The sequence below is a fragment of the Homo sapiens genome, chromosome 14, assembly GCF_000001405.40.
Source record: "Homo sapiens chromosome 14, GRCh38.p14 Primary Assembly".
Lineage (NCBI taxonomy): Eukaryota > Metazoa > Chordata > Mammalia > Primates > Hominidae > Homo > Homo sapiens.
The window spans coordinates 68,380,106-68,404,477 of NC_000014.9; the positions used below are offsets into that span (position 1 = coordinate 68,380,106).

The following is a 24,372-nucleotide window of genomic DNA, read 5'->3' on the forward strand; positions in this document are numbered from 1 at the left end:
AATTGCCTCTTTCTCAAAGCATCCGGGTTCTGGAGATGTTCTCGTGCTTAAAGTGTGTTTCTAAGTAGCTTCTGGGAACCACGTAAAATTGTCTGGCTCCACTTGACCAATGAGGAGCTTACTTTTCCTCCCAATTATTCCTCTCTGACAGAGGCCGTTGGTCATCTTGAAAAGCTAAGAATGTTAGATGGGACCAAAGTAAAATTGCAAAGCCTATTCACCCAGCCAAACTGAAACACACCTGATTAACTGACCACACACATGGTCTCAGAATGACATCTCACTTGGGGAGTAAAAGCCAACAGTTGTGGTTAGTGCCCCAGCAGGCCCCAGATGGTTAGAGTTAATATACACCTATGTTTTCTGCCAGGTAGTTTTCATCAGTTTCCTCAGGATGTCAGTGTGTGTGTATAATTAAGAGTATTTAATCATATTATAATTCCCCACAGAGAGATGGAGTGGGGGATGAAGGATCGCTGGCTTTTACAGTCTCAGCAAGAGTCATCAGTGGAAAAAAATAAAAACAGAAAAATGCCAAGTCTCTGGGCTGTGCCTGTGCCATAACTCACTCAGAAGTCTGGCTGGCACCACTACCTCAGTGTCATTTCAGTGAAGATGTAATCCCAAATCTTTTGTTGCAATCTTAGGGTTCTCACTATTTTAACATTAGCTTAGAACATGTGGATTGCAAAGGAAAACTGTGTTCTAATTCCCTGTTCATCAAGGCTGTGATTTGTGTACACCCACATAAGGCAACCTTCAGTTTATAAGACTGATGACTTCAGTCTTGTAAAAATAAATGAGATGGGCACTTCAAATATTTTAAGTTAGATCAATCAGTAGGGTGAGCACAGTTTAATTGGCATCTATTGATACATTTCTAAATTAAAAGAGCAGAATATAGAGCCATGAATCTTAGCCATGAAATCATGTTCACATTTATTACAAATCCATAATTCTTTCCTATTTCCCCATATATCCTGTTTTCTTTGTCCTGTCAATTGTCAAATTTAGCTGCTGGAAATGATCTCTTATTTTGGATTAGGAAACCAAGTCCTAATGACCGTAAGTGACTTTTCAGAGTCACACAGCTAGTTAGCTAGTTAGAATCTGACTCACCAGAATTCCAGTCTTTCTACTTTGCCAGATAGTCTTTACTGGGAAATACTTTTTTACCTATTTCTTAGAAGAATTTACTTATGTGAGCTTCACTTAAAGCAATATTGGTCTATTTCCTAGTTCCCTTAAACTGATCATGGTGCATTTCTGTTAAAAAAGCCATAGAGTTGGCCGGGCACGGTGGCTCACACCTGTAATCCCAGCACTTTGGGAGGCCGAGGCAGGCAGATCACAAGGTCAGGAGATCGAGACCATCCTGGCCAACATGGTGAAACCCCGTCTCTACTAAAAATACAAAAAAATTAACCAGGCATGGTGGCGGGCGCCTTTAGTCCCAGCTACTCGGGAGGCTGAGGCAGGAGAATGGCGTGAACCCAGGAGGCAGAGCTTGCAGTGAGCCGAGTTTGCGCCACTGCACTCCAGCCTGCTCAGGCGACAGAGCAAGACTCCGTCTCAAAATAAATAAATAAATAAAAAGCCATAGAGTTTCTTTATAATTAGGTTCTAACACTACTTCTTCCTATTAGTCAATAACAGTGCCACAATAAGTGGATTGGGTTAAAATGAAAATCACCAATTGAGTCTCTACCCAAAACCCCTTCCAGTTGCTCTTATTTAGGAGGAAACAGCTTCTGCTCAGTTTCTGTCCACTCACAAGACCTCTCCTGCATGGAACCCTGTCCACAGTTTCTATCACTCCACCTGTGCTTACTTCAGATTATCTCTGAAACAATCAGATGTAATGGCCAGTGGATGCAAAATACATATAAAGTAAGATTTGGGATTAGGAGGCTCAAGGGGGATGGATATGTAGAGAAAAGACCTAGGAAGAACAAGAACAGGGACTGGCAGAAAACACATTCTGAGACAAAGGCCATTTATTTAGCTCTGGCCAGTTGGTTTATCTAGCCTGACATTTCTCAACCTGGGCGCTATTGGCGTTTTGTGCCAAATTATTCTTGATTGTAGAGAGCTATCCTGTGCATTATGGTATGTTTAGTAGCATTTCTGCCTCTTCCCACTGGGTAGATGCCAATGGCATCCCTTCATTTGTGACAACCAAAAATGTCTCCAGACATTAGCAAATACCCTGGGGAGTGGGAAAGGGAGAGAGAGGAAGAATTGTCTCCGGATGAGAATCACTGATCTCACTCAAGGTTTTATCTTTGACATCAGCGCCATAAGATATTTTGTGAGAGGACAGAGTGGCCTTTCTAATTCTTAAAAGTTAGGGTTCTACTCCAGACATTCCTTATCTACTGCAAATACAAATTATTTATTTGTTCATTCATTCAAATAACAGTTATTACAGATGACACTATGTCAGGCTCTCTGCTAAGTCTAGGTGAAAAGACAGAACCTCCCCACAAAGACTTAGAACTTAATACTCTTAAAAATCCTAGTCATTGGAGTTGATTTGCTCACCAATGCTAACAAAGTTAAGACTTTGAGGTTGTATTCCCTTATCTGGCTTTAACTCAGACCAACCATTTCACTGATTGGACCAGCACAATGTATCCTGGCTACTCTAAAAGTCACTTAAAAAAACATATCCTACTGGTGGTATGTTGATAGTTTCCTGGGATATGAAGGTGGGCATGGTTAAAGCTGAAAGGACTCTTAGCGACAAGTGAAAAAAACCTCTTTGGTAAATCACTAGCATAGTATTACATGGCTTTTTTTTGGCCTGGGTGCAGCCCCCTTTAGACTCAAACCACTGTTCTTCCTGATAACACATGGCCTTATTTATGTTCATTGTATTTATTTAGCTTATTTTGATTCCTCTTTCTACATAAGAAACCACAACTGGAAAAATCAATTAATTTTTAATTTGCTCATAAATTTCTACCCATTAGAAGGAACCAAGGACTCTTGTAATTTGGCACAAATTTCCTTTCAGTATTTTTAATCTCTTTGGATATGTGTGAGTTGAATTCTCTTTAAACAACATGAAAATATATAAGCTATTTATATAACTTTTAAAAGTATCAAAGAGAAGACTCTAACATCCCTCACTGAAGCTTTTCCAGAATTTACCATGTGTACCAGTGTACCAGTTGTTCTCAACCCAGGGTACTTTGCCCCCAGAGGACTTTTGACAATGTCACAGATGTGGAGGGATGCTACTGGTGTCTACCCAGGGACAATGCTAAGCATCCTACAATAAACAGGATGGTCCCTCCAACCAAGACTTATCCAGCCCAAAGTGACAGGGTGCTGAGGTTGAGAAGCCATGTGGTATATAACACAGATGTACACACTGGAGGAAACGTCACTGAAGTAGATGCTGGTCACTTACCAGTTTCACTCCTTCAGGATATCCTCTTCTTTAAACGAGGAGGTTGTGACTAGTTACTTCCCATGAAAAGCAGCTGACCCTTAGGGTTGAAAAGTATGTTTATTCCCAATAGCAGTGAATGAAAAAAAAAAAACACAATGAATTTCTACTTGCAAGAATGCCATCTGTGGTTTTCTCCAAGTGTTGCTCTCAGCCCTCAGTGTTCAGGGTCTTCTTCACCTGTGCATTCTGCTGCCCTGCGTTATCAGAGTTAGAATCAGGGTGGAATACAAATATTTCCCCAGGCATCATTTGGTCCACAGCTGATGCTGCCAGCTAGTAAGCTGTGGAGTCTTACACCTGATCAACACTGGTTATTTTCTCCTTTTGATTACAGCCTGTTTTACTGTACTACTATGTGTCAATCCCAAGGACCTATTCTAGAGAGACAGAGTGAGCAGGTTGCCCCTGAGAGGGTCACTGGGTAGGGAAGCTTGGGAGTGTGGGTGCAAGTGGGAGTACACTTTCCACTCACAGGCTTCTTTGTCAAGATACATGTTCTATTTGTTCTGCTGAGTAATTCAGTAACCACTGAAGTTTCTTCTCAAGTCAGCTTTTCACTTTGTCAAAGCAAAATCCATTTGCATCAATGAAGTTTATTTTAATTTTTTTCTTATGATCTCAGAATGAAATAACAAAGAATGAGGGAAAAAGTAAACATTTTAACAAAGTGCATAAATCAGGGATTTTTTTTAACCTTATTTTCTTCCGGAAAATCTTGTTGTTTACGTGGTTGGAACTTTATTATTACACAGATTATTATAAAAATGAACCAACACTCAAAAGTACAAGGCAGGATTTCCCACAATGGCTATGTCCTGGCTGGCCTTGTTGCTAGCTGGCACAGTAATATGCCACCTGGAAGCAATGACCATTGGAAAAGAAGCCAGGAAAAAACCTTATGAGAGGCACAGGGCAGTAGATAATTTGTGAAGCGGTCGTTTGCCTCCCAGAGTGGCAAGGCTGGCATGTCTGGCCTAAGTGTACACTCACGTCATTTATCACATCCTCTGGTAGCAGCGCCTCTCTCCACTGCCTGTGAAGGAAACTGTTGCACAATCCTGAAGATCTGACTGAAGGAAAGTTGTCTTGGGATCAGAATTAAGGTTCCTTTTTCTTGTTTTCATTTCCGAGTTGCAAGTTATGCCCCTTTTTAGCGTTTCCATACCCAGCTGTCTACATTTTAAGCAATCGTTATATGGAATTATATCTTAAATGTAAAATAACAAGAATTCATTTAAAATAACTGCTTTCCCTCCAGAACCAGAGGTATCTCACCAAAGCTGTCACCTCCCCACCAGTATACTCCAATTGTGGGTGACAGTTGTGTTTAGAAAGTGGTGTTATAGCTCCTTTTATGTAGGATGATTACTCTGTGGCCATGACCTTCTGGGATGAACGGAAAGGGCTGGACAGAGTTACACAGCACGACGACAGAGGAGAAGCTTGTGGAAGTGCATTGCAAACAGAGATGGGCGAGTTAAGTTACTCAATTGCCATCTGCCTCTGTTTTGCTAACTCATTAGTTCGGACACCACATTGTGTTAATCCCCACTTCCCTGGCTCTGAGCTTGGTCCAGGTCTCGGGGGAACAGTGAGACTGCTCAGCTCGACCCTCCTGTCAGCTGGGCCTCAGCTTCTCTGCATCGACAGCATGCCAGGCCTGCCACCCTCGCTGCCACATCACATCAAGGTGAAGTTTTCTCCCCAGCCCCTGGCAACAGAAATTGAAGCCTTTGGACTTCGCTCATTCTTCCAAAAGACTTTTCTAGGCAGTGGGATAGATTTTCGCCTTACACCCCCTAGCACTCTCTTCCCTTCCGGCACTCCTTCAAGGCAACTGCAATTTCAGGCTGACCATCTTGGAAGTTTGATGGCACTGAGTACCACCAGCCAAATGCTCTCACATTTTCTGTGCCTCTCAGAAGAAGAGCCCATATGGCAGCTAAGAACCAATGAGTGAGGCCTAATTTGTCCCCCAAGACTATACGAGAAGGGCAGTCTTACTTCTGGACCTAATCTAGCATTACGAGCATCCAGTGATGACCCTTACGGTACTTTCTGAGAGTAGTTGCTCATAATCATCATTGTCTCTGCTGGTGAGCTGACTGGGATACGCAAATTGTTCCTATCAATTTATTTTGACCTCTCTGGACTTCAGTATTCTATGTGTGAAAGGGTATTTTCTGAGAATGATTAGATAATTTGTGATGTCTTTTTCAGCTTTAAGTATGAAAATGATATGCTAATTTTATATGTTGTCAGACACTACTCTAGGCATTTAACATATGCAATCCCATTTATTGGTACCCAGGAAGTAGACACTATTACATCTCTGATTTGCAGATGAAAAACTCAGGCACTGAGAGATTGTTTGTTCAAAGGCAAAGGTAATAAGTGACAGCCCAGAGATTGGCTCCCGAGTCTGTGCTCTTAGCCACTTGTGGTCACTTAAGATAGTCCCTTAATCACTTCATTGCTCTATTTCCCGTCTTCTTTCCAAAGTCTGTGGGTTCTCAAATGTGATCTCATCAACATTTAGGGCAGTATCCTTTGGAGGTTATTGTTGCCCCCTTTTTTACAAATGGGCACTTTGAGATAAAAGCAGGCCACATACAAGCTATTGGCAGAACCCAGGAGTCCAGCTTTTGTGCTGTGGGTTCCATCTGCTATGTGTCTCTCCCAGTCATAATTAGGATGATCAAAAAATTCAGATATAACCTGCTTACCCCTCTCAACCAGGGCAAATCAGAAACAGCTCCATAGACAATTGGGTTAAGTTTCCAACTCAAATGTTGAATGATCTATGCAGAATATAAAGGCGTTTACAAGCCAATGACTGATACAGATGCAGCAATAACATACCTTTCCCCAGTCCTCTCTTTGCTGTAAGGCACCCACTGAATATCTTACACCTCTCTGGATAGCAGGAGTTACAGCAAATTCTGCATATGCCCTCCCACATTTAGCACATGCAGGGCTCATCCAAGAATTTTAGCAGCAGGGGATGATAGAGTTTGTTCTCTGGTTCTTTCTGACTGTCTCTGCCCTGATAGTGCCTAGTACCTGAGTGGCCCTTCCTCTGTCCTCTAATCCCACTGGATTGCACGTGCCTTTTAGCACTGGAGGTTCTGAAAGCCAAGCAAGAACTCCTCCTAATGGCATTCAGTACCTCTTTCTTCCCAGTCCCAGGAGGGGTTTCCCAGCAAGCAGAGGGAAGGTGATTGTTTCTACCTCTCATTTAGTCCTTCCTTTCCAACTTGATGGTATACCACCTGCAAAGCTATCCCAGAAACAGATGAAGTTTAGGATGCCCGAAGACTGGTTTGTGACATAGAAAAATTGGAATTGAAATGAAACTGCACATTCATTGATATCACCTCTCCTTTGTGAGTCTGGACCTAATAGAGTGGAATGAACAACAATACTGAAATACCAAACTTATTTATGCATTTAAGTCACCAAGTGATTTGGGTTTTTGTATCAGGGATGGTTGTTGCTTTTCCCTCTGCAATGTTAAACTACTGACCCGTTTCCTCTCAAATTCCAGTTCCACGTTTAACTGAAGACACACAGAAATAAATGTGTGTTGGCAGAAAGACAAACCCTGAGATGAAGCAGGAGGTATGTTGGCTGATAGAAAGGCTGTTATTTTAATTTCTTTTACATTGCAGCAGTCTCAGATGGATAGTATCCAGGTAACTTGTAGCGCCTGCATCTTATTAAACTCCTGTTTGATTCAGAATTTACAGCTAAAATGCACCTGGAATACTTAAAGTAGGAACTAGACTTTGGTTCATTTGTTCTCAAAAGGGATGTACAAATCGATTGCACAACCTACAGCAAGTGGCATAAAAACCTTCAGAATAAGATGATGGCACGTTTTTGTTAATAACTATATTTCTTGATTTATAAATTCAACAATGCTAATTTAGTGTTTACTGTTTGACAGACATTGTGCCTCTATAGCAGGATGAACTCACAGGCATGTTTTCTGTACGTCTGTCTCTTTTTATTGCATGTGACAGAAACCATACTCAAAGTAGCTGAAGCAGAAAGTAAAGTTATCACAAGGATACTGGCATATCTATAGAAACTAAGGACTGGGATGCAGCTGACTCAAAGAAGAGATGGAACCAGTGTTAAATAACATTAAGTTAGTTGGTCTCACACTCTTACACACACACTATCTCTTACACACACACTCTACCACTACAACCACTAAATAGCTGCACTGTCGCTACATAGCCACCACCCACATGTAGCTACTGAGCACATGAAAGGTGCCTTAAGTGTAAAATATGCACTGAATTTCAAGGACAGTATGAGGGAAAAAAACATAAAATGTCTTAATTTTCATATTGATTACACGTTGAAATGATAATGTTTTGGATATATTGTGCTAACTAAATATATTTGACATTTATTTTACCAATTTCTATTTTTTTCATGTGCCTACTGGAAAATTTTAACTTACATATGTGACTTGCATTGTGTGTGTGTGTGTGTGTGTGTGTATATATATATATATATTTTTTTTTTTTTTTAATTGAGGCAGCCTCTCTCTGTCACCCAGGCTGGAGTGCAGTGGCACAGTCTCAGCTCACTGCAACCTCTGCCTCCCTGGTTCAAGCGATTCTCCCACCTCAGCCTCCCGAGTAGGTGAGCTTGCAGGCGTGCATCATCATGCCCAGCTAATTTTTGTATTTTTACTACAGACGGGGTTTCTTTTGCTGTGTTGGCCCGGTTGATCTCGAACTCCTGACCTCAAGTGATCTACCCACCTTGGCCTCCCAAAGTGCTGGGATTACAGGCATGAGCCACCACACTCAGCCTGGACAGTGTTGTTCTTCTAGTTGGTTTTCCTAAACATCTACAGCAACATAAATCTTCCCATGCCTTAGTTAGCCTGATTTAGTTGAGAAACACTGAAGGGACAATCAGAGACATATATCACCAATCAAGTATATATCATTCTATTTCATCCTTTTCTCTCTCCTTTACTGTCCCTCATAATTTCTACATGAGCCGAACACACACACTTCTTTTTGAAAGTGAATGTATATATTCACTCACTTCAAAAATACTTACTGAACCCCAATTCTATGCTAGGTCTTACATCAGGCGGTGAGGATACAAAGTCCCTGCCCTCACAGAGCTTCCTTTCTAGCAGCCTCAGCCACTTTTAGCTTGTTTTCATGAATGGAGCCCTGATGTGGGAAGTGCACCTCCCAGCGTGGCTGCATCTGGTCCAGGCTGAATGATTAACCCTTATAGTGAGTCTAAGTTGAATGAAAACTTGGATTTTCAGAGTCGCCATTAATACCATGTTGTCAAGGGAGATGGCAAACGATGTTGTTATTCACAAGTCGGGAGCCTTCAATGATGTAAATTTGTATTTCTCTTCCCATTTTTATGGAGCCATATTTCAGAATTCAGAAATGGAACTATGGAAATATGGCTCTCCCCGTCCCCAAAAAGAGTCCTTCTTCTAGACTTCTTGACAATATGTGTGAGGAAGCCTCTGGATTCAGTTGTTTTGTTTTTTTAAGTAACTTTTTAAATGAAGTATAATATGTAAACAAAAAAGTGTGTACATCGTAGTGTATAGCTCCATGAACTTTCTCACTGAGCACACATGTAACCAGCACCCAGATTAAGAAACATAACATTAATAGCGCCCATGGAAGCTCCTCCTTCCTGTCATGACCCCATCCCACCCCTCCACCCTCATCCCAAAGGTAACTAACTACTATCTGGACTTCTACAACCATGGATTAGTTTTGCCTGTTTTTGAACTTTATATAAATGGAGTCATATAGCAGGTTCTCTTTGGTACTATTTTCTTTTACTCAATGTTATGTTTATGAAGTTTATTCATGCTGTTTTATTAACCCATAGAAAATATAGATAGCTCCCAAGAAGAAACATAAAAATTATAATCCTACTACATTAATATGTCAGTGTTTGTCCTTCTAGCCACTTTTCTATGTATATACTTATGTTAACTTTTTTTCCAAAATTAGACCATAGTGTGCATACTACTTTGTGATTTGCTTTGTTGTTTGATATATCAGATCTACCAATGTGTTCTAAATGTTGGTCGTTGTAATGAGGCTATATTCTGAATTGACTAATAGGTAATACAGAAAAGTAGAAAATTATTTTTTAAGTACCCATAAGTATTTATATTAATCATTTTGTCCGATGTAGATTTGATCCGTCTCAGTCAGGCTTCCAAAAGACTTCCAAATAAAGGTAGCGAACAAATGGATCACTGATTGCTAGGGAAATCTGGTAATCAAGACCAAGTTGGGCCTCTTGTTTCTCAATGAATCTTCTAAATCACTCTCTACTGTTTTAAACCTAGGTATTCTGCGAATATGTAACAGATTAGGAACTGAATAATTCTGAGAATGGCTTGTTAGAGTCTCTGTTCAACTCTTGGCTTACTCTATAATCTGAGACAAGTCTGTAAAATGTTCCTTATTTCTCAGACGAAGAGCCTCATCTCCACATCTGTTTGGGATCATAAGAAATAATACTTACATAACATTTTGGAATCCTTGAATGAAAAGTTTTTTGGAGTTGCTGACTGTTCCTAAAATTTCCTCAACTAACATTGTGGAAATCCATTGTTGTGGATATAGTTGCTGAGCTAGGTCATAACTAGATTGCAAATCTTGAGTAGTGGAAAAATCTACGCCTCGAAGTTCTGGTCATTTATTTTAAAAGCTATTCATTTATTCCTAGATGTTCATACTGTGAGCTTAGCCTGTTATCATTTTGGTTTACTTGCTAAATATTCACATTTGGGGTCTTCATCCTTACCCATTTAGGATTGTATCTATTGGCATATGCCATTGGATTTGTCTGAGTGAGGTCACCTGGAACACTAGTGTTCTGACATTGAGTTTACACTGCAGGGATGAGAGAAGTAAATATTCCTATTAGTCAGTAAGGTTTGAATTTATAGCCTGAGACTCCTCAGACACTGACTGTCTGGGACCCTTGGAGACAGACCAGCATTGAATGAAACTGAAAGGTAGAGAATATACTGTGGCTGGGAAAAGTGATGGAGCAAATCTATGCAGAGATACAATAGTAGGATATTTAAGAGTTGGAAGGGATATTAGAGGCCCTGTGGTCATACTTCATTTTTCAGTTGGGGAAACTGAGGCTTAAGGAGGTCACAGAATGAGTTAGTCACAGAGCTGGGTTAGAAGCTTACTTTAGTGTTTCACCAACTACTCAGATGTCTGCACTACTGAGATACATAGAGAAAGAGCGTCAGAGGAAGGATTAGGGTGTCCTCTAGACCTCATTACACTAATGCAGTCCCTGGTAGGATCTAAAGACGTACTTGTCTCCAAGACACCTGACAAGCTGAGAGTATTGATTCATTCTTTCCCAACTTGGGATTGCAATGGTGAAAGGAATTTGGCATTTTATCTAATCAGCATTGGAAACTTGGCTTTCTTTTGGAGAATTCAAAAGTTCAGTTTAGGATATGTTCACAAGATACTTTCCTCCAGAATTAGGTGGGAGATAAATTATTAAATTTATGAGACTTGTCTTTCTTTCTTTCTTTCTTTCTTTCTTTCTTTCTTTCTTTCTTTCTTCTTTCCTTTCTTCTTTCTTTTCATGTAGCATTTCTTTTTCACATTGTTTCTGATGACCCTTAACCCCTGCTTTTTAAATTCAGTTTCATTTGTGTTGTCACATATATATCAGTTGTTGAGTCTTTAGTATGCGGAGATGCTGAGCTTGCCCTTCCAAGATGTTGGAAGGTCAACTCACTTTATGGTCTAGGTCCAGGAAACAAGAATATTTCCAACTCGCTGGGGACCATCTTGGCCTTGAGCAGAAATGGGATCTGAATTATTACCTAAGAGACCTTTGTAGATTGTCACAGTTGGCAGCCTCAGGACTTGAGCTAATCCTGGAAATTCTTTAACTTCCCAGAAAGAAGGTTCCACAAGGGCAGGCTGAGGTCCTCAGAGAGAGCAGATGGAATAGAGCTTACAACCAGTTGCCTTTACAACTGGACTTGGAGATAAATAATAACATTATACCCATTTTTTTTTTATCATGAAGCCTTTGACTTTCAGGGGATATCTATTCTTTATTCCTTTTACCCTGTATGTGGAAAAAAAATGCTCTGTATGAAAGAAAAGCAAGCAAACTTGTTGACTCAGTTCCCATGGTGAATGCAAGGCAGACCAGGCCAATAGAAACAACTCAGATATTACAAAAATGTGTTTCTTTCTGGCAGCTGCACAGTCAGTCCTTTATATCCAGTCACTGCAATCGCCCCATCACACAAAACCATTTCCAAGGTCATTATTCTGGTTGCGGGGGCTGCTTCCCCTACAAATAAATGTTGGTTTTACTAAATGTCCTCTCTCTCCAACTCACTTTATGGCAAATGAGGAGTAGCAAAGCATCATTTAGGAAGAGAAAGTGTAGAAAATCAGAGAGATGAAATACTACAGGTTTTCTAAAGGCTCAGGTTTATCTGGCTCAAGCAATACAAATTACAAACTATGGCACCACCTGTATAATCTGGTTTTAATTAACTTGAGGAAGGTACATCAATGTTATTTCATTAAAATCAAATTCTGTTTAAATGGAAAACCACCACTACAGGGTACATTGGGGCATTGTTCACTTGGGTTTTGGGGTTGGCAAGTAAATCCTGTATTTAGAAAAACCCAAGCAAACCCTGTTTTTTTGGAATCTTCTTATGCTTCGGAAGGCTTGTCATAGGTTCCTTGGAATGTAGGGGGTGCCCTGGTGAGGACCAAGGCACAGCTCAAGATGTTGTTTGCCAATTCTTCCTTTTATGACCCTTCTAGTCTTCTGTCTTCCTGCTCCCTGCCTGTCTCCATATCTCTTTAGTGCTTGGCCTTGATGCCCTATAGGACTCTCTCTCCCATTTGCCACTTTGAACTGAATGATTTGATCCCCACTGGGTGGACAGTGGATGACATAGGGCACTCTATAAACAAAGATGCTATTTCAGGCTTACAAGAGGAATGAGGCCCACGTGATCACAAGGGGCTGGTGAATAATAGAACCCTCTTTTGAAACTCTCACTTCACCAATTACCTAAGAGCTGGGAGGAACCTGAAAGATCCTATAATCTACACACCTCCTTTTCCGAGGAGGACACTGAGATTCGGAGGTAAAGAAACTGGTCCATACTAGTGAAGGCTGTTTGAGTGGGGCCTCCCCATTTCGACTCATGCCCTTTCCCCTCCAGCCTGGTGCCCCAGTTCTGCAGACCTGTTGATTACAACACAGCCCACGCCGAGAAAATCCTGCCCTGTCAGCAGAACAGCTTTACAAGCTGACATAGGACATGTGTGTGTTTGGAGTCAGGAGAATGGCTGAGTTTTAGTTCCAGTTCTGCCTCTGCTTTGCTGGCTTCAGCGAGTCACTTCTCCTTCCTTTGTCTATTTCCCCTATTGGGAAGGAGAAGATAATTAACCTTTCCACCTATCAGGCTCACTTGAGTGTTATAAAGAATAATGAGGTGATATTTGTAAAGTGCTTTGAGCTGCTGGGAAAGAGGAGGGGGTGAGCTCCGTGGAAAACATTATTAGCTGGAAGGACTTATCAATTGAGCTATTTAACAATAGCAGAGAGTAAGGATACTCAGAAATGAATTCCAGGGACTAGCCCTGCTTTGAATTTAGGAGGAGGATTAGTGGGAACCTAATAGGTATTCCGCTTCTCCAGTTTCTTCAGTGCACCGTCAAACTAGGAAAGGTAATTACATTCTTCTATGTCGGATTCAGCCCGGAGTTTCAATTGGGATGTCAAAGTGTGCTTGTCCTCTATTCTCATACTGAGGCTGTGTTATGGTGTGATTGTTAAAGCCTTGGGCATCTTCTATCCCCTGGGGTAATTTCGCTTAGGAGCTATACAAAGTAATTTCTATGCAGTGGCTGGGCTGCTGTTTATAAGGTTGATTAGTAGAGCTTCTAAATCTAAAGCGCCTGGGGAGCAATTTGGTTGAAGCAGGGAAATAAAAGGCAAGGTCTTTATCATGGTTGATCTTTTTTTATTGAGCCGCTCCATGGGAATTTTCTCAGTGACTCAGATGCATCTACAGTGCAAAACGTGGGGCTTGGTGGCTCTTTGACATGGCAATGGAGGCCTAGCCCCAGGTAAAGGTGAACTTGCCAGGTCACTAAATATATTTAGGGCCCCCTTTTAACTTCCTTTACTCTCACAGAGGGTGATGTTTTTGGGGCCCTGAAATGTGTGGGAATGTTTCCAAAAGATTGTTCTGATGAGGGATCTGTTTCTGCAAACTCCTGCCCCACTGTTTGAAAGACCGTCTGCCCCAAATTCAGGTCTTTCTCATTTTTAGGGCCAGGGAAGAAGACAGAGGAAGAGAAGAACTGGGGGAATTTTGTTTTGAACTTGTGCAGTCTCTGTGGGCTGACTGAACAGTGAGCCAGGCAGAAGGTGGCTCCCTCTTTAGTCGGCAGGAGCAGGGCTGAATTTTATCAACATCTTCTGCAGGTGTAGGGAGAGGTCAAGATGTCATTTGGAATGATAATTTCTCTGATCAAAGTTAAGTTAAGGAAATTACAGTGATTGCATCTTTGTCCCCTAAAGTTTATGAGCCTCTTTGTAATCGCTGCTTCCGCAAACCCTTCCCCACCTTCCCAAGTTCTCAGGCCTCCATCTGCAGGGGCTGCTGGGCTTTTCCCTCCAGGAAGGACGGGCTCGCCAGCTGGCCAGAGGTTCCTGTATTAGTGCTGCCCTGTACTGACTTGTGAGTCTCCAGTAACAATCCTCCGGTGTGGCACAGCTACAAGCAATGACCAGGGAGGCCCACCTTGAATCCTGAACCTCTTTGGGGGCTGACTCAGTCCTCTGAAACTGACTCTTGGATTCCTTCCTGGGTTTGCCACCAACTCATTTTTGTTTTTCTCAGCAAATCACTTCTCTGCCTTGAGACTCCATGAAATAATATAAGGTTTCCTTGGCAGGATTCTCTGACCTTTTTCAGAGACCCAGATTTCTTGTTTATTTTAATTTGAATGTCTCAATCCTCTGAAAGCATTTGGAATATTTTCTTCATTTCCCTCTCCCAAGGTATCTACTTTATCCCAGACAGGGCTCCCCCAGTGGGTTTTGAGGGGAAGGATGCTGAGGCTTTGGGCCCGGGCTCCTGTCCTTTACTTCACCTCTGCCAGGGCAAAGACCAGCACTGGGCTGACCTCCCTGGGCTGGGCCAAAAGAGAAGGCTGTGGAAGCCGCACGTCTCCGATGCTGCCCACTGTCCTTTCCCTCTGCAGCCACAGCTGCCTCCAGCCCCCCTCACCCCCGCCTGCTCTTTTTCTCAGTGAGCCTCAGCGCCAGTGCCCCAGTGAGCTGCTGGGAACAGAGGTCCGTCCCCTGCACTGGCCTCGGCTCCCCGCACCAGAACATTCAGGCATCAATGGGAAACAGCAAGATCTGTCGGCATCCCCCCCTTTCTTCAGGCTTTGAGGGCCACATTCTCCACGGCCATCTGTTCCCTTTCACCTCTCTGGACAATGTTGCTTTTTAAAGCCAGCGATTCTTCCTCCTTTATCCCCTCCTCTCCCGCCTCCCCTTCTTCTGTGCTCCCACCCTTTCTACCTCTCCTCTCTTTGCCCGATTCCTATGAAATTAGCCTCTCTTAAGATAAGATTTGCCCTTCCTCCATACAAAGCTGTTTTGCAAACACTATGGGTTTTTGAATTTTTATTTTTACATTTTGTTTGAAGTGAGGGCTTGCTACTTTTAAAGTTTGTGATTGTCTTGTGGAGGGGGTAGTCTTTTGATAGGGATAGGAAGGGGGAGGATAGAAAAACTTTTTAGTCATGAAAAAAGAAAATACAGAATAATAATGAGTTTTAGGTTCCTGCTGGCAGGCACTTGCCTCTTTAAAGAAGGAATCCTCCCTTTCCTTTCCTTGATGATCAGTTTAAGGAAATTTTTATGCTCTCGAGGTCTTCCCACCTTTTATTGTATTACTATTTTGTTGTTGCTGCAATGTTGTTGTTGTGCTGTTTTTAATTTAGAGCCAGGGCTTCTGTGGATCTGGTACAGCGGATTCCTTTGTCTTGGACAGAGCCATATACAACTCCAGAGGTTCCTGGATTCAGGCAGAGTGCCCATGGTGCCTTCTAGATGAAGCAATCATCCTGACTCAAGGGCTGGACATCAAGGGGTGTTTGCCCCAGGACTGACCAGTGACTAAGTGTGTGACCTTGGGTACATCACTTTCTTTAAGAATAATGATGACAGAATCATTTACTTCAAAAAATTTTTAACACATGATTCTTCTGTTTTTACTATTACTTGGTTTCACAAGCAAGACGAGTCCGTGGTAATGTCATGAAAACTTATGGGTTATCCTTGGGTAAGGATGTACCAAGAATCCACCGTTAGGGTCTAGTTGAGCAGCAGACATGGGAAATATCTAAAACAAGGACGGACTCCTGGCTGTGGCTGCCTGTCAGGATCACAGAGCAGGGACACGGGCACCGGCAGAGTTGGGCTGACAGATTGAATCCTGTCTCTCCTACTTACTAGCTATACAGATATCAGTAAGGTTTTGTCATCTATAAAATAGGGGCAACACTAGAGATATACTTCGTATGGTCGTTGAGACAATTAAGAGATTTTTATCACGTAAAGCACTTGGAATAGTTTCTGGAACCTGGTCGGTACTATGTCGTTGTCCCTCTTCCTATCCCACATCCACATTACAGATGAAAACATGGGCTAACGGGTTTTCTGCAGGGCTCTTCTTAGTCTTTCACATTCACCTTCTGCTGGTTCATTTTTTCATTGCAGAGTGAACACTGATAAAATAAATAATGTAATTATCAGATTATAATGATGATTAACACAGCGATTCTATTTAGAAATGTCATAAAATAGTGAAACATCCTAAGATACAGAAAGATATATGATCATGTACTTCTGGCAAAGAAGGTGAACCAGATGTGGAGATGATAGTCATAGAAGGAAAGCCAGTCATGATTTTGGCAACTGGGATCACCTTACATATTTTCAGTTGGAGAAAACCTGGAGATTTATTTTTCTTTTGGTATCAATTTCTAGAAACCTGTCGTATGACTAAGAGTTTCCCAACAATAGGGAGAGAACATTATTAAAATATGCTTTTCTAGAAAGGCCCAAATGACTCTGAATAAGAAACTGAATATTATAATTTAATGAGGAAAAGAAAATGAATGGGATGTCCAGAAAATTGGGGCGGGGAGGGGGTAGTTTCCATGCATTTTCCCTCCTAGAAAGGGAGATTAATGGCCATTCTTGTAATATCTAAATGGCCAAAAGAAACAATGAAAAGAAAAATAATGAATCAGACTCTGGGGTTTAAATCCTGACTCTGCCACTTGCCAGGTGGCCTTGGGCAAATCACTTTCTTTGTAGCGCAGCTTCCTTCACTAGAAAATTGGTATGATAATGGTACCTCCCTCACAGAGATAATGTATGTAAGGTGTTTAGCCTGGAAAACAATAATTATCCCAAAGTGTTACCTCATAATTCTTTACTGTAATGTCTTATATCAACTGACATCTGAGATGTGGGACACATTACCCAAAGTTGGTAGTCTTGATCACTTTGCGGATGCTGGTCATTTGCAGTAAACCCATAGTTCTGTCTCATTTCTGGATAAGCATTGGCCTTCGAGGAAGAAGGAAATTGGTTTGCTTAAGAATTCATATTTTGCAGATGTGAACTGACTGGCTACTGACACCAAAACCAGTTCCCCCAATTAAAATAACCCTGCTAGCCTCAGCACATTTTGTTCATGAGCTCCCTCTCCCGCCATGAGGCGGCTGCCTGAAAGTACTTGACTGCCCTACCCTCCACTCCCCGGGGATTGGGACATGCTTGTGAAGAGATACTTGAGGAAGTTAAAGCAAGGTCATCTCCATTGCCTAAGCCCCACACCCTGGTAAACTGCACACTGTTTGGACCTTGAAACTTGTGAGCTGCGAATTCCTGTCATAAATGGAGTTTTCCTCCCTCCTGTGGCCCCAGTTTGTGGTGAGCCTTGTGTTGGCATGGTGGCCATGGGGACACCCCTCGTGTGTGTGTGTGTAGGCCCCCAAAAGGAGAAGTGTAGCAGCTTCCCTCAGCCTTGCCTCAGAAAGCCGGGTCCAGATGGCCAAGGAAGCACACTGCATTGAAGGAACTCTGCAGCCAGAGTGAATTTACCAGTGTGGGAAACAAAAACGTTCGGGTTCTGGTCTAAAATTCTGGGAGCAAAGGACACTGGGATTGCCTCCACCAAATGTCAACATTTTACTTCTTCCCCCACCCCCTTCTCAGAGCCTCGAGGGCAGCAAACATATGTGAGGCCAGCATTCCATTCCCTCCCACGCAGGAACATATGCTGATTCCTATCAGGATCCTCTGCTTCCCAAAGAGGCTGATGGAGATGGGGAGGGAGGAAAGCATAACCATAAATCCTCACACTCTGGGCAAGGTGATAATTGAAAGCATTCTCCACCATGACGTGCTCTCCAGTGCCAGGGCAGCAGGCAGCTGGGACAGCTAAAGCTGGGGAAGGCCTGGGCCGGGGCCCAGCTCTCCCTCTGACCAGGTGAATTTTGGTGGTCAAGTCACTTCTCTGCCTATGAAACGGGAATAAGGATTGTATCCATGTTGTGGGATCAAAGGAAGCACTTTAAGTCAAATTCATCAGATGCACTTAGGCACTCTGGAGTTTTCAAAGCACCTCAGCATTTCTGTCTTGTCTCACTTGATTCTTTTTGCTCCCCTACTTGCACTCTGTTCCTGCTGTCACTGAGGAAACACAGCAGAGTGTGAACTCTGAAAGCTGACCCTTGTTTGGTGTCTTGAAGCAATGCAGGTCAAGGAGCAAGACTGAGGAGGGGCCTTAATGAGGGTCTCTGAGTGAGGACCTGGGCCCGGTAACCAGCCCTGGCCTGTTTCATGCCCAGGCTATCAGCCGCCCCTCCTACCAAGTCTCTCTGAATTAATATTTTGGGTGTCTCCTCAGACAACAGCTCCAAGCAGATGAATTATGGCAGTTCTAAAGGGTATTTACATCTCTTCTCTCTATTCCTCTTGGGAAGCAGGGTGGGGGATTAAGTCAGTCTTAAAAACTGGCTAAAGGGCATTCTCCAGAATGATGTCTTCTGAGATTAAAAGGACACAGAGCCACATCACAAGATACTAGGTGGAGATTTTCTAATACAAATGCATGCATGATGGTACATGGACTGTCTGCGGGATCTGAGGAGTCTGTAATTGCAGGCAAAACAGCAAATGCCTAATACATGATTTTTTTTCAAATGTTAGCATATATTAGGATCATCTGAGAGAGGTTTTTGAAAATATGGACTCTTGGGCATCACCTCCAAAGATTCTGATTCATCAGGTTTGGGATGGGGCCTAGGATTCTGCATTTTACAAAGTTAACAGATGATTCTGATGTATAGAAACATATGAATGCCCTAGTAATTTCTCCAGAGATCCAATCCCATGTCTTGATTTTATATCAATGACCAAGTAATCTCTCTGGAAAGGCCAACCTACATTTTCCCACTAATTTTTTTGGGGGGGAAGGAGAGTTCAAACCTACAGAAAAGTTCCAAGAAAAGTATATTGAACTCCCCATATACCCTTTACCTGATTTTTTTTTGTGTTTTTTTTTTTTTTTGAGATGGAGTCTTACTGTGTCGCCCAGGCTGGAGTGCAGTGGCGCAATCTCGGCTCACTGCAAACTCCTCTTCCCGGGTTCACGCCATTCTCCTGCCTCAGCCTCCCGAGTAGCTGGGACTACAGGCACCCGCCACAATGCCCGGCTAATTTTTTAGTAGTTTTGGTAGAGATGGGGTTTCACCGTGTTAGCCAGGATGGCCTCCATCTCCTGACTTCATGATCCACCCGCCTTGGCCTCCCAAAGTGCCGGGATTACAGGCGTGAGCCACCAAGCCCAGCTCTTTACCTGATTTTTAACACTTTGCCTCATTTATTTTTATCTCTTGTATATTAGTTACCAATTTATTTTATAATATTGTTAACTTATTATAATTATCTTTGCTGAACCATCTGAGGGCAAGTTACAGATATCATATCCTTTCATCCCCAAATACTTCAGCATTTATCTCTTAAGAACAAGAACTTCTCTTACATAACCACAGTACAATGATCTCACCCAGGAAATTAGTATTGATACAATACTATTATATAATATACTGGCAATATTCAAACTTTGCCAGGTGTCCCAATAATGTACTCTATGGCAGTTTTTTCCAGGATGCAGTCCAGGATTAGACATGGCATTTTAGTTGAAATGTCTTTTTGCACTAATGGTTTTTAAAGCCATTGATGTTCTCCCAGAAAAATTTTTCTTCAAGAACATATTTCCTAATAAACAAATCATATTTCTTTTCTCTTCTGTTCTTACTGCTTGCAAAGAGCCAGTGATCCAAAGTGGGCCTGAAGCAACAGCAGGCTTACCCAGGCCTGATTCTTCACAAGCTAAGGCCTGGGCAAAGGACCCTCTCTCAGCCCTGGGTTTGCCTTGTGAGCTGATTTCCTGAAGGCAAACCACATGACTGCTGGTGTGTCCCCTTGCTGTTCAGTCAAGTGGGTGGCCACCTGGCTTTCTCCTTGTCCCAAAGTACTTCGTTGGATATGTAAAGCGACCAAATGTTACTTCACTGTAGTTTGAATCTTACCCAGAAAGAGTGACTGGTAAAGGACATGCCACTTTGCACCCTTCCCAGCTCTCTCCAAAGGCAGCTGGCTGAATGCACACTTCTGAGGGTGATGTTTTTTCCAGCACTCAGGGATATACCCAGTGTGAGATCAGAATCAGCAGCTGTATTCATTCTGCCTCAGCCAGTGCCATCTGAAACAAACATCAAGTGGTCAAAAAATGAGATGGTGACCATGTATAATACACAAGACTTATTAGAATTCAACTCTGGTATCCGCCTGCTGCCTCTGACTCTACAATGGGAGCAGGAAAGCAAAGCTCATACCAGGACAGCTGAAAGGTGTGGTCTGAGGATTTCATGGTGAACAGATAGAACACACTGTGGGGGAAAAAAAACATATTTTATGCAAGCATCTTTCTGGCTTGTCTTGAATGAAGCTAAATTTAAAGAGAAAGTGCCACAGATTTCTTTAAATGGTTAGGTTTTTGTTTTCTTTGTTTTATTTTGCTAGTATTTACTTAAGGGTAATATGTGTTTTCTGTAATGAGTGAATTTATTTTTAATTAAAAACTTATTTGCAAAGGTCAAGAGATTTCACTACAAGTCACCATTCAGGATTTTTTTTTTCCTTTCCTTAAGTAGAAGGTAGCAAGGGGAAAGCTGTATTGGAGAAAAGGTTCAGGGGCATGGCCTCCTGGAGAATGTTGGGAGTTGAGCTGATGGGAGGAGATTGCTTCTTTTTATTCAGACAATCTAGTTCTGTTCTTCTTATGCCTACTATTGTTTTCCTTGCCATCTTTGAGACCTTGATGATCGACACTGCAGACACAGCAGAGAATCCTAGTACAGACTGAAGCTTTTCGTATAAAGTGAGCATGCTCACTGTGATTCTGGACAGTTCCTACATAGTATCTCTGTAGGATAACATATGTCTTGGTTTTCTCAGGGCAAGCTCAGTTTATCTCTGTTATCCCAGTATAACTATTAAAATGTCCCCATTTCATTTTCAAAAATGTCCTGGTTGGATAAGAACTTAAAGTATTTTGTTAAGACTCTGGGAAACTGAAGGTATTTTCTCCCTGTCCATGAGCCAGTGGAGTTGTTGAGTGATTTGTGCTGGTGCATACCAGTCTCTAGCCTAGTGGATGGCTCACCCCCGCTTCTCCCCTACCTTGTGCTATGGAGGATCCATCCCTAACTCTTGCATTCCAGAGGTTCTGATTGCCTCACTTCTTCCTGTCTTCTGCTTCACATTTCTTACCTTTCTCAGTAACGAGTTTGCTGAGACTTGCATCAGCCTAGGTATGTTGTGCAAGTAAAGCCTCTGGACTGCATTCACTCCTTTCACCTCCAGCCAAGAGACATCAGGAATGAAATTTTCTGCTTTACTAAAGTGAAGCAGCCCATTCTTTACCAGCCAAATGCCTTCCTCGGTGGGTAAATGGTATTAGTTGAAGCAGTTATTACATAGTTTTATGCCTCAGATCCTGTATTTATAAATCTGAAAGACGACTAATAGCTTTAAAGTATTTTGAGAATCTCAAAGCTCAGAAGATTATAAATAACAAAAGATATATTTTTTCGTATCTAAAATGGTAGCACAAATACTGCGGTTGCTTACTTAATAGATAGCGTGTGGTCCCTGAGCCATTGCAGCTGATGGGTTTTTTCCAGTGCTCTATTTATAGAGCTAGGTCAGAAATATCACTTCCGTTGGAACCTGACCTATAGACCATTGTCAATTTTAGAGACCCAAGGAAGTAGAATGCACCCTAAATACAGCTGGTTCACAGATTCAGTTAGTGAACCACAAGCCCTCAAGGAAATTAATTTTGCTGGAAGATAAATGTCTGAGCCTATCCCAGTCTCTTTTCTTTGACACCTTTGTCCTGTGGTCTCACAGAGCTTGTAGGTCATCTTGAATCTTTATTCTAAAAATAACCTATTATAGGCAGTTTCCCAGCTTTAATAACTTACTCATCCTCTTCGCCTTTTGTTGCTAAAATTCTGCATTGAATGGAACAAGAACTGATGACCTGCCAAGAGAGGTAACCAAGATTCTCAGTCCCTTCCCCAGTTCAAATGGATGGTCCAATAAAGAACCATGCTCAGCAAGTGCCAGGGGCCTAGTTTTAAACAGGAGAAGCTGAATTGAATGGATGATGAATTGAATGAATGAATTGAATCCTTCTGATCCCTAGTCTCGCACTCAGACTCCCGTCTTTAAGCTTTGTTACTATGAAGTTGTGTTTGCTGGGACTTGGCCACTGGTCAGCACAGGTTTACCCATCATAAAGTCTTACTAAGTAGGGTAGACTAAGAAAATCTCTAGTCTGGAGAGAAATCTGCTATCAGCAAAAGAACCCATGCCTGTGCTCTTTTCAAGCACAAACGGGTGCTGGGTAGGGCACAGCGATTCAAAGACAGCGCATGGAGTGGTGCATTCTCAAACTTCCTGGAACAAGTGAGGTTCTCGATGAGGAACTCATTCATATCATCAAAATACCAAAGACTCAAAGTTTTTTAATAAGGCAGGAACTATTGAGGTCATTTACCCCTTCTTGTCATGGATGAGGAAACTGAGGCTCAGTGAGGTTAGGTAACTGCTCATTACCAAGGCCTACTCTGAGGTTCTTTGTTACACTACTCTCCTTCTCCCACCTGGTCTCATCAAAAGCCCAGACGGAGTCAGAAATAGAACTGCAGGGTCCTGCTTTCTAGCCAGCAGCTGGCCACAGGCTATCATGCATTACATGGAATGTGCTTCAGGACGTGAGGACAAGAGATATGAACGAGAATGCAGTTCCAGTGGTAACATACCATCTTCTTCCCTGGATTTATTTCAATCCTGAAAACATTTGTAGGTATTGTTATTCCTTTATTTTTTTAAATTTCCTCTTTCTACTCTAAATAAATGGGCTTTCATCTGCAGGGACTGGAGGGACCAAATATCCAGAATATCCAGTCCGCTAAGGCCATGAACTTTTCCTTCCCCTCTGTTCCTATTTTGGGAGTCATTGCTTTGTTTTTTTGACTTTTTTTTTTTTAACATGGAAAAGCATTCTTTTAAAGTTGACCCTTTTGCTGCAGGGCAAATGCTTTTCTGTTATGCACTAGAGATTCAGTTTGATCTCCTAGAAATGCTTAGCACAGGAGTCATAAATTGAAATGTTTTCAGAGAAGGAGCTTTCTCATTAAGAGCTTTCCAACAGGCCTCTTCTAAATACTGACACGGGTTGGTACCAGAAGCCCATCACCTTTTTGGAAATCAAGGCTACATAGCAACCTGGTTATCCTCCTCCAGTCTGATTGCACGAGGGCTACACCCCATGTATACAGAGCAGAGAGACAGCTCCTTGCCTTGTGAGAAATTCGTCTTCATAACCAACTCCCACACCAAATGAGTAAGGAATTGGATCCAAAAGATAGTCATGAAAGATATTCCAGAATCCAAATCATGTGTTTTAACCACTTTGCAACTAAGATTTACTATCTTGCCTCATTGTTAACAGAATAAAAAATGCAGGAGATAATGATTAAACTTCTTTCCTCCCTAGAATTTCATCTTCAGTGTTTGATCATCATTGTTCCTGTCACTTATACATATCAAGTATCTTCATCTAAGGGTCATCAAGAACCTCTGGTTGCCTGGAGGCCAGAATTATTATTCACATTTTACAGATGGGTTAGCAATCACAGAAAGAGAACATGCTTTGACTTACCTAAAAGAGTCTCTGAGAGAGTGGAGAATGAATGTTCCCACAGTCTTTTACAGAGCCCTGACTTCAGTGTGAGTAGATTAGATTTGCTCTATGTAGCTTACACAGAGACTTCTACAGGCTCAATCCCATAACAATGAAAATCCTCAAAAATGAAAATATTTTCAAAGCTCAGTTCACGTATTTGATTTTTGTATTTGCATTGGAATTAACCAAATTCCAGACAATGAAGTTATACTGCTTTGGCAGGTCTAAATATCACAATCATCAAAAAGGAGAGAGAGGGAGTGAGCACCTCAATTTTTAGAACTTCCTCTTAAAGTGAACATAGAGAAGGTTCACTTATCTGTTTCCTAACCAATTAGGTCATCTTGCAGGAAATCACCTTTTCTTAAAAGCCAGTAGGCAGATTCCTCCTACTTTAAATTTCCCATCAACAGCATTAACAATCATTTATGCCAGCCCTCTCACAGGAATG

General features: G+C 42.0%; 1 protein-coding gene and 1 long non-coding RNA gene across 14 annotated transcripts in view, besides 2 other annotated features; one reads left to right on the forward strand and one right to left on the reverse strand.

The window, feature by feature from the left end:
• RAD51B (RAD51 paralog B) overlaps nt 1-24,372 on the forward strand; it is an 863,318-nt gene that overhangs the window by 560,327 nt on the left and 278,619 nt on the right. The gene's annotated exons all lie outside the window — the stretch shown is intronic.
• On the reverse strand, nt 15,191-24,217 carry LOC101927971 (uncharacterized). 2 transcript variants are annotated; one of them, XR_245776.5, is made up of 4 exons: nt 23,898-24,217; nt 20,194-20,366; nt 17,075-17,161; nt 15,191-16,311 (listed from the first exon to the last, which is right to left on the reverse strand). It is a non-coding gene; the product is annotated as an uncharacterized LOC101927971 (long non-coding RNA). The 2 variants fall into 2 exon arrangements; XR_001750993.2 differs by having other exon boundaries at nt 17,014-17,161.
• Nucleotides 17,058-17,784: an enhancer, noted in NCBI's record as "H3K4me1 hESC enhancer chr14:68863880-68864606 (GRCh37/hg19 assembly coordinates)". NCBI's record gives its function as "activates a minimal SCP1, AML or CMV promoter by ChIP-STARR-seq in naive H9 embryonic stem cells {active_cell/tissue: H9 hESC(naive)}" and the evidence as "EXISTENCE:reporter gene assay evidence [ECO:0000049][PMID:30033119]".
• Nucleotides 23,955-24,114: an enhancer, noted in NCBI's record as "active region_8608". NCBI's record gives its function as "activates an Ori minimal core promoter by ATAC-STARR-seq in GM12878 lymphoblastoid cells {active_cell/tissue: GM12878}" and the evidence as "EXISTENCE:reporter gene assay evidence [ECO:0000049][PMID:35858748]".